The sequence below is a fragment of the Homo sapiens genome, chromosome 7 (genome assembly GCF_000001405.40).
Source record: "Homo sapiens chromosome 7, GRCh38.p14 Primary Assembly".
NCBI lineage: Eukaryota > Metazoa > Chordata > Mammalia > Primates > Hominidae > Homo > Homo sapiens.
The window spans coordinates 56,239,776-56,252,996 of NC_000007.14; positions in this window are offsets into that span (position 1 = coordinate 56,239,776).

Sequence of the window (13,221 nt, forward strand, 5' to 3'; positions counted from 1 at the left end):
TCCACCTCCCAGGTTCAAGCAATTCTCCTGCCCCAGCCTCCCAGGGAGCTGGGATTACAGGTGTCTGCCACCATACCCACCTAATGTTTTTGTATTTTTAGTAGAGACGGGGTTTCACCATGTTGGCCAGGCTGGTTTCAAACTCCTGACCTCAGGTGATCTGCCCGCCTTGGCCTCCCAAAATGCTAGGATTACAGGCGTGAGTCACCGTGCCTGGCCCATTTTTTTTTTCTTTTTTTTTTTTGGTAGAGGGCCTCACTCTGTTGCCCAGGCTGGAGTGGAGTGGCACAATCATAGCTCACTGCAGCCTCCACCTCCTGGGCTCAAGCAATCCTCCCCAGCTTCAGCCTTCCAGGTAGCTGGGACTACAGGTGCGCACCACTATGCTCGGCTAATTTTTTAAAATTTTTTGCAGAGATGGGGTCTTGCTATGTTGCCCAGGCTGGTCTCAAACTCCTGGCCTCAAGTGATCCTCCCACCTTGGCTTCCCAAAATGTTGGGATTACAGTCATGAGCCACGACGCCTGGCTGGTCAGCAATTTTTTAAAATGTAATATCCCATCCTTATAATATTTGGTAGGAAGCTTATTTTCACCAAACTGAGATTCTTGACCCCACCTGCCCACTTCAAAATCTGCTTGACTTGTTTACCCTATATTTCCCATCTGATAAACGGCACTCATTGCCCAAGTCCCAGCCCACATGCAGGAATGATTCCTCTCTCTTCCCTGCATTCTCCCACCCAAATCCCAAATATCAGCCAGTCTTACGGATCCTAGCCAAAAAGTCCTGAATTCACCCACTTCTCACATCCTCTTCCACGATGACCCTGAAGTTGCCCACGGGCCCTGCCCTTCAGCAGAACTCCCTATGTAACTTCTGGGGCCCAGTGAAAAACGAACACAGGGAGCCCCCTGTACAAAAATAATAAAGAATTTCAAGCCAGGTATGGTGGCCTCAACCCAGGAGTTCAAGACCAGCCTGGGCAACATAGCAAGACCCCATCTCTAAAAAAAAAATTATTTTACTTAACTGGGCATGGTGGCCGCACCTTTAGTCCCAGCTACTCAGGAGGCTGAGGCAGGAGGATTGCTTGAGCCCAGGACCTTGAGGCTGCAGTGAGCTGGGATCATGCCACTGTAGTCCAGCCTGGGGAACAGAGAAAGAGACCCTGTCTCTAAAAAAATTAAAAGAATTCAATATGGCAGCAGCCAAACATTAATCCGGTCCAGGGATTAATGCTTCTAAGCCCAGGACTCTGGATTGCACAGGTCCACACACGTGAACTGGCCCTGTCCTTCCAAGACCACCAGGAACACACTGACAGCTGAACAAAGTGGGCTTACTGATGCGATGCAAGAAGAGCACACAGATCATGGAAAACCCTAGGGCATCTCAGTAAGGATGTATTTAGGGTTCATACTGGTGTCGTGTATTTTGGAATAGCTCAAGGAAGCAAGGCTTTACTCTGGATTGCATGCTGTTAAGAACCAGGTCATTCCACAATTGAGCATCTTTTTTTTTCTTTTTTTTTTAAATTTAATTTTATTTTACATTCCGGGATACATGTGCAGAACGTGCAGGTTTGTTACATAGGTAAACGTGTGCCATGGTGGTTTGCTGCACCTATGTAACCACAGGTATTAAGCCCCGCATGCATTAGCTGTCTATCCTGGTGCTCTCCCTCCCCCGCCCCTCCAACAAGCCCCAGTGTGTGTTGTTCCCCTCCCTGTGTCCATGTGTTCTCATTGTTCAGCTCCCACTTATAAGTGAGAAATGCGGTGTTTGATTTTCTGTTCCTTGCTGAGGATAATGGCTTCTAGCTCCATCCATATCCCTACAAAGGACATGATCTCATTCCCTTTTATGGCTGTGTAGTATTCTGTGGTGCATATGTACCACATTTTCTTTATCCAGTCTATCATTCGTGAGCATTTGGGTTGATTCCATGTCTTTGCTATTCTGAATAGTGCTGCAGTGAACATACGTGTGCATGTATCTTTATAATAGAATGATTTCTGTTTCTTTGGGAATATACCCAGTAATGGGATTGCTGGGTCAAATGGTATTTCTGGTTCTAGGTCTTTGAGGAATCGCCACACTGTCTTCCACAATGGTTGAACTAATTTACACTCCCACCAACAGTGTAAAAGTATTCTTATTTCTCCACAGCCTCACCAGCATCAGTTGTTCTTGACTTTTTAATAATTGCCATCCTGATTGGCCTGAGATGGTATCCACAATTGAGTATCTTGATAATTCTTTTTTTTTTTTTTGAGTCTGAGTCTTGCTGTGTTGCCCAGGCTGGAGTGCAGTGGCACAACTATAGCTCTCTGCAGTCTCAACCTCCTGGGCTCAAGTGATCCTCCTGCCTCAGCTTCTCTAAATGTGTTTCTCCTCCTCTGTGCCCTGTCCCAAAGAGCCACCCATCATTCTTTACCTAAGTCATTCAAATCGCTGACTCCTCCTTCTCCTTCATCACCCCCACTGTCTGTGGCAAAGTCCTGTATATTTCCAGACATCTGTTCCCCATGTTCCACTCCTTTTTTTTTTTTTTTTTTTGAGACAGATTCTTGCTCTTTCACCATGCTGGAGTGCTGTGGCATGATTTTGGCTCACTGCAACCTTTGACTCCCTGGTTCAAGCAATTTTCCTGCCTCAGCCTCCCAAGTAGCTGGGATTACAGGCACGTGTCACCAAGCCCAGCTAATTTTTGTATTTTTAGTAGAGACAGGGTTTCACCATGTTGGTCAGGATGGTCTCGATCTCCTGACCTCATGATCTGCCCGCCATGGTCTCCCAAAGTGCTGGGATTACAGGAGTGAGCCACTGTGCCTGGCTTCCATTTTTCACAAATGTTACCCTACCTCAGGTCAGCCTCATTTCTTGCCTGAACCACTGAAATTGTTTGTCATTTGTTTTCCCTCCTGACAGTCTTGCTAGCTAATATAATACTGAGAGCTTTCTAAGAATAAGGCCCACTCCATGACCTCAAAAAACTTGCCCTTCTCTCTGGTGGGAGGGAAGAACACATGAGCAAATAATTACAATCCTATCCCATGAGAGGCTTACAATGAGAGAGGAGAGAAGCATAGTTACTATGGGAGCAGGGAGGAAGACTAGCCATTCCTACCACCAACCCATCCCTCAAGAACCATGCAGGTGAGGCCGGGCACGGTGGCTCACGCCTGTAATCCCAGCACTTTGGGAGGCCAAGGCAGGCAGATCAAGAGGTCGGCAGTTTGAGACCAGCCTGGCCAACATGGTGAAACCCCATCTCTACTAAAAATACAAAAATAAGGCCAGGTGCGGTGGCTCATGCCTGTAATCCCAGCACTTTGGGAGGCCAAGGCAGGTAGATCACAAGGTCAGGAGATGGAGACCATCCTGGCTTACACAGTGAAACCCCATCTCTACTGAAAAAAAAAAAAAAAAAAAAAAAAACTTAGCCGAGAGTGGAGGCACATGCCTGTAATCCCAGCTACTCAGGAGGCTGAGGTAAGAGAATCATTTGAAGCCAGGAGGTGGAGGTTGCAGTGAGCCGAGATTGCGCCACTGCACTCCAGCCGGGGTGACAGAGTGGGACTCCATCTCAACAACAACAACAAAAGATTAACCAGATATGATGGCGCCTTCCTGTAGTCCCAGCTATGCGGGAGGCTGAGGCATGAGAATCGCTGGAACCTGGGAGTCGGAGGCTGCAGTGAGCCGAAATCGCACCACTGTACTCCAGCCTGGGGGACAGAGCGAGACTCTGTCTCAAAAAAAAAAAAAAAAAAGAAAGAGGCCAGGCACAGTGGCTCACGCCTATAATCCCAGCACTTTGGGAGGCCGAGGCGGGCAGATTATGAGGTCAGGAGATCGAGACCACCCTGGCAAACACGGTGAAACCCCCATCTCTACTAAAAATCCAAAAAAAATTAGCCAGGCGTGATGGCGGGCGCCTGTAGTCCCTGCTACTCGGGAGGCTGAGGCAGGAGAATGGGGTGAACCTGGGAGGTGGAGGCTTCAGTGAGCCACAGTCATGCCACTGCACTCCAGCCTGGGGGACAGGGCAAGACTCTGTATCAAAAAAAAAAAAAAAGAAAAAGAAAATTGACTTAGTCTTTCATCATCTTTTTTTATTCTGGTTCAGTCCTTATTATATTGCAATCATTGGAGTTTGATATTTGTCATCTGTCACCTTGGTCAGCTAATACCCACAAACTGTGAGTATGTCTTGGTGAACACAAGAAGAAAATTCTTCAACTTTGAGTTCCAGTTATTCTTACAGTTCCTTTTTTTTTTTTTTGAGACAGAGTCTGTTGCTCTGTTGCCCAGGCTGGAGTGCAGTGGCATGATCTCAGTTCACTGCAACCTCCGCCTCCTAGGTTCAAGCAATTCTCCTGCCTCAGCCTCCTGAGTAGCTGGGATTACAGTTGCCTGCCATCATGCTCAGCATATTTTGTGTTTTTAGTAGAGATGGGGTTTCACCATGTTGGCCAGGATGGTCTCAATCTCTTGACCTTGTGATCTGCTCGCCTCAGCCTCCCAAAGTGTTGGGGTTACTGGCGTAAGCCACCACGCGCAACCCATAGTTCATTCTTTAAAACCTTCTATTTTTGTGTTTTGTAACATATACAACATATTAGTACTTGGGTACATGTAAATAATTTCTAAATAAAAATATACATATTTTGAAGTGTATGTGCTTTTTAAAATTTAATTTAATTTTCAGTTGATGGCCTGCAACAACAAAAAGCTTCAAAGGCCAATAACCTACCTCCTGTGTCAATCAGTTCTCCAGAGAAAGAGAACTGATAGGATTTATTTATCTCTTCTCTGTCTCCTAGGGATAAGTGTTATGAGAGAGAGAGAAAGAGAGTTGAAGAAATTGGCTTATATGATTGTAGGGACTGGTAAGTCCAAAATGTATAAGGGCAGGCTGGAAACTGGTGCAGAATTAGTCTGTCACAGTCTTGAGGTAGAGTTTGTTCTTCTCCAGAAAACCTCAGAGATGGAGTTTCACTCTTGTTGCCCAGGCTGGAGTACAATGACACAATCTCAGCTCACTGCAACCTCCGCCTCCCTGGTTCAAGCGATTCTTTTGCCTCAGCCTTCCGAGTAGGTGGGAGTACAGGTACCCGCCACCACGCCCAGCTAATTTTTATATTTTTAGTAGAGATGGTGTTGTGCCATGTTGACCAGGTTGGTCTTGAACTCCTGACCTCAGGTGATCTGCCTGCTTTGGCCTCCCAAAGTGCTGGGATTATAGGTGTGAGCCAGTGTGCCTGGCCTTCAGTTTTACTCTGCAGGCCTTCAACTGAAAGAAGAATCCGTAGGTGGGAAGAGGAATCCACCCATATCACAGACTTTACTTAAGTCCACTTCACTTAAGTCTACTTTAAAGTCTATGGATTGTTCAGCTGTGGTGGCTCACACCTGTAATCCCGGCACTTTGGGAGACCAAGGCAGGCGGATCACCTGAGGCCAGGAGTTCGAGACCAGCCTGACCAACATGTTGAGACCCTGCCTCTACTACAAATGTAATAATTAGCCAGACACTGTGGCATACGCCTGTATTCCCAACTACTCGGGAGGCTGAGGCAGGAGAATCGCTTGAACCTGGGAGGCGGAGGTGGCAGTGAGCTGAGATCATGCCACTGCACTCCAGCCTAGGTGACAGAGCAAGACTCCATCTCAAAAATAAAAATAAAAAGTAGTCAACAGATCGTAGCTGTTAATCACATCCACAAGACACCTTCACAAAAACACCTAGATTAGTGTTTGATTCCATAAGTGGGTTCCACAGCCTAACCAGGTTGACACATAAAACTCACCACCACCCTACCCTGTTGCCAGGTTCCCTAAATTGGTATCCCAACACTAGTCTCCCCCGGTTCTGAGCGCCTTCCATGTCATTTCCAGGCTCAGCTTACTAAAGGAAATCTCTGGCCAGGTCTCTCGTCTGCTTAACTTCCACCACCCCCAGATGAAGACCAAGTCTTTAGACTGACATCTGCTGCTCTTTAGACTGTGGTCCTAGCTCCCCCTACCCCTCTCCCCTGGCTTTCTGTCAACATAAACATCACATTCATGCTCACTCTTCCTCCCTGCAGCTCTCCACCCTATCACACCCCCACACCTGGGCTTTTCTGTAACTGCCCTGTATTAGGCCATTCTCGCTTTGCTAGACTGTGTAATTTATAAAGAAGAGAGGTTTAATTGGCTCCTGGTTCTGCAGGAGGTATAGGAAGCACGGCAGGATCTGCTTTTGGGAAGATCTGAGGGAACTTTCAATAATGGCGGGAAGCAAAGGGAATGCAGGCACTTCACATGGCTAGAGAAGGAGCAAGAGCGGAGAGGAGGGTGGGGGCGGTGCTACACACTTTTAAACCACCAGATTTTGACATAACTCACTATCTCATGATAGTGAGACCAGCACCAAGTGAATAGTGTTAAACCGTTCATGAGAAATCCACCCCCATGACTCAATCACCTCCCACCATGCTCCACATCCAACATGGGGAATTACAATTGAACATGAGATTTGGGTGGGAACACACATCCAAACCACATTACGGCCCATAAAAACATGCCATTCCCATCAGTTGGTACATCTTCTGGCTTTGCCTGTCAAATTCTTTTTTTTTTTTTTTTTGAGACGGAGTCTCGCTCTGTCGCCCAGGCCGGATTGCGGACTGCAGTGGCGCAATCTCGGCTCACTGCAAGCTCCGCTTCCCGGGTTCACGCCATTCTCCTGCCTCAGCCTCCCGAGTAGCTGGGACTACAGGCGCCCGCCACCGCGCCCGGCTAATTTTTTGTATTTTTAGTAGAGACGGGGTTTCACCTTGTTAGCCAGGATGGTCTCGATCTCCTGACCTCATGATCCACCCGCCTCGGCCTCCCAAAGTGCTGGGATTACAGGCGTGAGCCACCGCGCCCGGCCTGCCTGTCAAATTCTTACACTCTTCAATCAATATGTCCACTCTCCAACCTTATCTTACTCTGAAATGTGCTTCCACTGTATTTCTGGGGCTCAGTTAATGTATTACTTCCCCTGGCATAAGCTAGAAATTGCAAATGCAAATTAAATAGACCACAGAGTGTGGGAAGATATTCCCAATGCCTAAAACAGTCAAGGGAATAATTTCTAGAATATACAAAGAGATCCTCCAAACCAACAACAAAAAAAAGGACAGGAAAAAAAAAATAGAAAAATAGGCCAAAGATATTTCAAGGCAATTCACAGAAGAAGGAGCTCTGGTAGGCAAAAAAGAATATAGATAAATACATAAATGAAAAGTAGAACAGCATTGAGATGCTGACTTATAATGGCCCAGCTGGCAAAAATTAGAAAGACAGATAATACCAAATATTGTACAGCAGGTGGCTGACTTCATGTCTTTCTCTGTCTTTACCTATCACTCTATTGATTTTTGGAGTCATCGAATTCTTTAGCTCAGCTTTGTCTCTAAAACTTATACATGCAAATCCAACCCATTTTAGACATCTGTGCTTCAAAGATCCATTGGTTTGTTAAATACAACATGTCCCAAACTGAACCTGCGCTATGCTTCTCTAAACGTGTTTCTCCTCCTCTGTGCTCTGTCCCAAAGAGCCACCCATCATTCTTTACCTGAGTCATTCAAATCCCTGACTCCTCCTTCTCCTTCACCCCACCATCTGTGACAAAGTTCTCTATATCTTCCAGCTAAAGTGTAGCAGACATTTGTTGCCCACGTTCCTTTTTTTTTTTGAAACAGAGTCTTGCTAGTGCTGTGGCGTGATTTCGGCTCACTGCAACCTTCGACTCCCTGGTTCAAGCAATTCTCCTGCCTCAGCCTCCCAAGTAGCTGGGATTACAGGCACGTGCCACCAAGCCCAGCTAATTTTTGTATTTTTAGTAGAGACAAGGATTCACCATGTTGGCCAGGATGGTCTCGATCTCCTGACCTCATGATCCTCCCACCATGGCCTCCCAAAGTGCTGGGCGTGAGCCACTGCGCCTGCCCTCCATGTTTTACAAATGATACCCTGGCTCAGGCCAGCCTCATTTCTTGCCAGAATTACTGAAATTATTTGTCATTTGTTTTCCCTCCTGACAATTTTGCTAGCTAATATAATACTGAGAGATTTCTAAGAGTAAGGCCCACTCCATGACCTCAAAAAACTTGCCCTTCTCTCTGGTGGGAGGGAAGGACACGTGAGCCAATAATTACAATCCTATTCCATGACAGGCTTGCAATGAGAGAGGGGAGAAGCGTAGTTACTATGGGAGAAAGGAGGAAGACTAGCCATTCCTACCACCAACCCATCCCTCAAAAACCATGCAGGTGAGGCTAGGCACAGTGGCTCATGCCTGTAATCCCAGCACTTTGGGAGGCCAAGGTAGGTGGTTCACGAGGTCAGGTGTTTAGGACCAGCCTGGCCAACATGGTGAAACCCTGTCTCTACTAAAAATACAAAAAATTAGCCAGGTGTGTTGGCGCACACCTGTAGTCCCAGCTACTCAGGAGGCTGAGGCAGAAGAAATGCTTGAACCTGGGAGGAGGAGGTTGCAGTGAGCCAAAATTGTGCCACTGTACTCCACCCTGGGTGACAGAATTAGACTCCATCTCAAAAACAAAACAAAGAAACAAAACCATACAGGTATCTTCCTAAAACGCGGTTCTGACCAAATGCCCCAGTCTTAAAACTGTCCAAAGGCTGCTTTTAGGATGAAGCCCTTGACACAATGTAAGCCATGCATGGGCCATCTTTGCCTACTTGTATAACTCTTACAAATTCTTGGGCAATGATAAATGACTCAATACTCCACACACACACAAATCATCCTTTCTATTCCCATTTGATGGATGAACCTTTAGGACTTGCTTTAAACTGAATGTTAATTTGGTTGGTGAAAAAAAAAAAAACAAGTTCCATGCCAGGCGCAGTGGCTTATGCCTGTAATCCCAGCACTTTGGGAGGCCGAGGTGGGCGGATCACGAGGTCAGGAGATCGAGACCATCCTGGCTAACACGGTGAAACCCCGTCTCTACTAAAAATACACAAAAATTAGCTGGGCTTGGTGGCAGGTGCCTGTAATCCCACCTACTAGGGAGGCTGAGGCAGGAGAATGGCGTGAACCCAGGAGGCAGAGCTTGCAGTGAGCCAAGATCGTGCCACTGCACTCCAGCCTGGGCGACAGAGCCAGACTCCATCTCAAAGAAAGAAAAAAAACAAGTTCCAGTTCGGAAGAAGTTGCATTTAAAATATTCGCAGTTGCCTTCTGTCACGTCCTTGATCAAGGAGGTAAGTAATAATGCAACAGACATTACTGTCATTAAATGCCAGCAGTGTGCAATGCAGTATGCTAAATGTTGTGGGGGAGGCAAAGAGGATGTAGCCAGACTCAACCATTTGCTCTCTCCTGTTCTCCCCAGCTCCACATCAACAAGCTGTCTCTAGACAGACTTGAAGCTCTCTGTCCTTCCTTCCCTCCACACTGAACTCCTGCCTCTCCCACGCAGCAGGCATCCTTCCTATTCTATGTTATTGCTGCTCATGTACACAGCCAATCCCTGCCCACATTCAGAGTCTGATCTCCTTTAATGTAGGGGTGCTCTCTGTTTAAACTTTGTATGGTGTCTGGCACAGTCTACTATTGAATAAATTCACTGAATTAATGATTATTGGGAAATAATTCTTTTTTTTTTTTGAGACGTTGTCTTGCTCTGTTGCCCAGGCTGGAGTGCAATGGTGCAATTTCAGCTCACCACAACCTCTCCCGGGTTCAAGCGATTCTGCTGCCTCAGCCTCCCGAATAGCTGGTATTCCAGGCGCCCACCACCATTCCAGGCTAATTTTTGTATTTTCAGTAGAGACGAGGTTTCACCCTGTTGGCCAGGCTCGTCTTGAACTCCTGACCTCAAGTGATCCACCTGCCTCAGCCTCCCAAAGCGCTGGGATTACAGGCATGAGCCACTATGCCCGACCAATAATTTTTGTTTTCGAGGAGCTCACAATTGTCTACTGACTATGATATTAAGAGCAAATTTTCCAGCAAAGATGTCAGAGCCTTCTGGAACTAGGCACTGCCTTACCTGGTCAGCTGGCCTGACTCATTCATTCATTTAAACAATGTTCGTTGAGATGAATATTAAAAACACATATTGAGAACCTACCCCATTCTAGGTCTAGCTCTAAGATGCTCAGGATAAAATAATAAAAAAAAGGTTGGATGTGGCCCTTGCCCAACTAGCATGTATAGGAGAAGGATGAAACCAACCCTAAATAAATGAACGATAATTACAAATTGCGAAAAGCGCTATGAGATAAACAAATGGTGTTTTAAGAGAGAGCTTAGTGGGAGGTGCTCAGCTATTCCCCTGGCTGAAATATTCATTGAACTGTCTCTGACAATCTGAACCCCAGATCTCTTTAAACCCATAGATCACTTCTGGGAAGTCTACCCTGATTACTGCAAGCCCTGCCTGACTCTGAAAACATTTATTATGTGTTCACCAAATATGTATAACTCTTCCAGCCAGGAAAGCTGCATGGAGCCTGTGACACATTTTTATCTGGTACATGAGCTACATAGGTGACGTCACTGTGGCCACCAGGCCTCTTTCAGTCATCCCTCATGCAGGCCCTTCCACGTGTATGGAACCAGGCTCATGGGCAAAACAGTGCAATTTCTGGGATCTTTATGCATACTCATTTAGCGATGGAGAGAAAACTCACATACAATGCAGCCACCCCAAAGGCACAATCACAGTAAGTTGATTGCAAAGTTCTATATCCATCCCTCTAACTTATCCTTTCTTGACCCTGGCTTGACTCATCCTCCTTGGAGGTAGCCATAAATAATCTTTCTTCCCTTTCCTGCCATCTCTACCTCATGCTGAAGAGTTTACTCATGGTTCACTCATTTGTAATAGTTCAGTCATTTTTGTTGATGTTTGGGATAGATTGCTCAGTTCCCAAAAGCCTAACAGACTCTCCACCTGGAATTATACCTCTTGGATGGGTCTCTTTGGCAAAGCAATGGGCAGTTTTATATGAAGACCATTACACTAGGCAATCATGAATAAACAGTTGAGAGGTGAGGGTGGAGGGGTCTGGAGGACACTAGTGTTTGAGATATTATAGATCACAGTTTATTGCTAATTTTAAGCATTCTTGTAAGATAAAATGATCATTCCTATTTTTAAAAGATGAGGAAAATTAAGACACAGCAAGGTAAAAGAAGTTGGCTAAAAGCTAACTCTTGTAGGACAGAGTCATATGTTTAAGCAAGTGATTTTGAAAGTGTAGGAGGCAGGGTAAAGTGGAGGTTTGCATCGAGCTATGGTTCTCTAATGCGAGTGTGCATCAGAATCATGGGAAAGGCTCCTTAAAGCGCAGGTTGCTGAGTCCTGGCCCCAGAGTTTCTGGTTAAGTGGGTCCATGATGGAGCCAAGTAATTTGCATTTCTAACAAATGTTAAGGTACAAAAAGCTTACTATAATAATAACAACAACAAGTGGTATTTCTCCAGCCTCTATTACAGTGATACTGGCCTAATATGTGCCCAGATGATGCTATTGCTTCTGGTCCAGGGACCACAATTTGATAAGCACTGTCATAAAATATGGTGTGAGCCCGGAGGAGAGATAAATGACCAATGCTTCAGGGCAGCCAAGGGATGGCTTCATAGGGAAAGTGGCATCTGGGTTGGGCATTGAAGATCACATAGGAATTCTCCAACTCACTTTCCCATCTGCCATTTGTTGGTCATAGAGGAAAGGACTGAACACATGCTATGTTTGGACCCACAGGTACAAGTCAAGTTCAAATGTGGTGAATGTTCAGTGAGTGTGTATAAATTCTGGAAGCTCAGCAGAGCTTGTACTGACAGGGAAGAGGCTGGCAGGTGAGCCTGGCGCCAGATGGAAAGCCATGCGAAAGAGTTCAAATTTCATCCTTTGGGTACCAGGCTTTTAGTCAGAAGAGTAATGCAATTCTCTTTGCTTAATTGGATTCTAATTGTTCATTCATTAAAAATAAGATGGTATTAATCACTCACTACACCAAGGAATGCTAAGGTATAAAAAGCTCACTATACAAATAATACCAATAACAGTAAGTGGTATTTCTCTGGCTCTCACCACAGTGATACTAGCCTTGCATGTATGATATGATTTACTCCCTACAGCAATCCTTTGTAGCAGATGCTACTGTTATCCCATTTTAGAGATGAGGAAACTGAGGTTTAGGGAGGCAAGGGCACAGTGCTTGAAAGTAGCTGAATAGCAGTGGGGCACGGTGGCTCACACCTGTAATACCAGCACTTCAAGAGGCCAAGAAGAGAGGATCACTTGAGGCCAGGAGTTCCAGACCAGCCTAGCAAACATCTCTATAAAAAATAAATATTTACAAAATTAGCTGGGCCTGGTGTCACGCGCCTATGTATCAGCTGCTCAGAGGCTGAGGCAGGAGGATTGCTTGAGCCCAGGAGTTTGAGGCTGCAGTGAGCTATGATCACGCCACTGCACACACTTCAGCCTGGGCAACACAGTGAGACCCTGTCTCCAAAAATGAAGAAAGTAGCTTATAGCAATTTTGGGTTAAGTTTAAAGGGTCATTTTTGCATCGTAAACTTTGCTTTCCTTTATGACATCCTTGAGTTCAAGGACTGTATCTCTACCTTCCCTTTCACCCAAACGTATTGCCTCTAATATGAAACTGCCCCTGCTGTGCTTGGTAAAAGTAGCCTAGGCTCTCCCAGCAATGCCCTTTCCCTTGCAGGTATCCTGACCTCTACACAAAGGCATGAGGCAAACAGGAGCTACTGCTTGTTACTGGAGGATCTGTGGTCTTCACAGTGCAGGAATATCATCCCGAGGGGACAGTAGGATCTATCACTGTCAAACCCAAGGCCCTATTTTTTTTTTTTTTAATTCTTGCAAACTCAGGACTTTTCAGATCTTTAGGGCTGATCAGAGATAGGGCACTACAATAGACAGCTTAAATTGTAGCAAGTGGGGAGAAGAGGCAAAGAGAGGTACCACACATAAAATAAAATACACTGACTTTTTGGGAAGAAAACACATAATTCTTGGTACGCCCAGCACAACAAAAGTTCTTGGAGAACAGAGAAGATCTTTGTCAGAAATTGTGTCTCATTTAGCAACATTGTTTCACTTCTGTTCTTTTCAGAATGAAATTGATTCATGTTGCTTTTGTTTCAGGTTGCCTTTTATTTTTTACCTT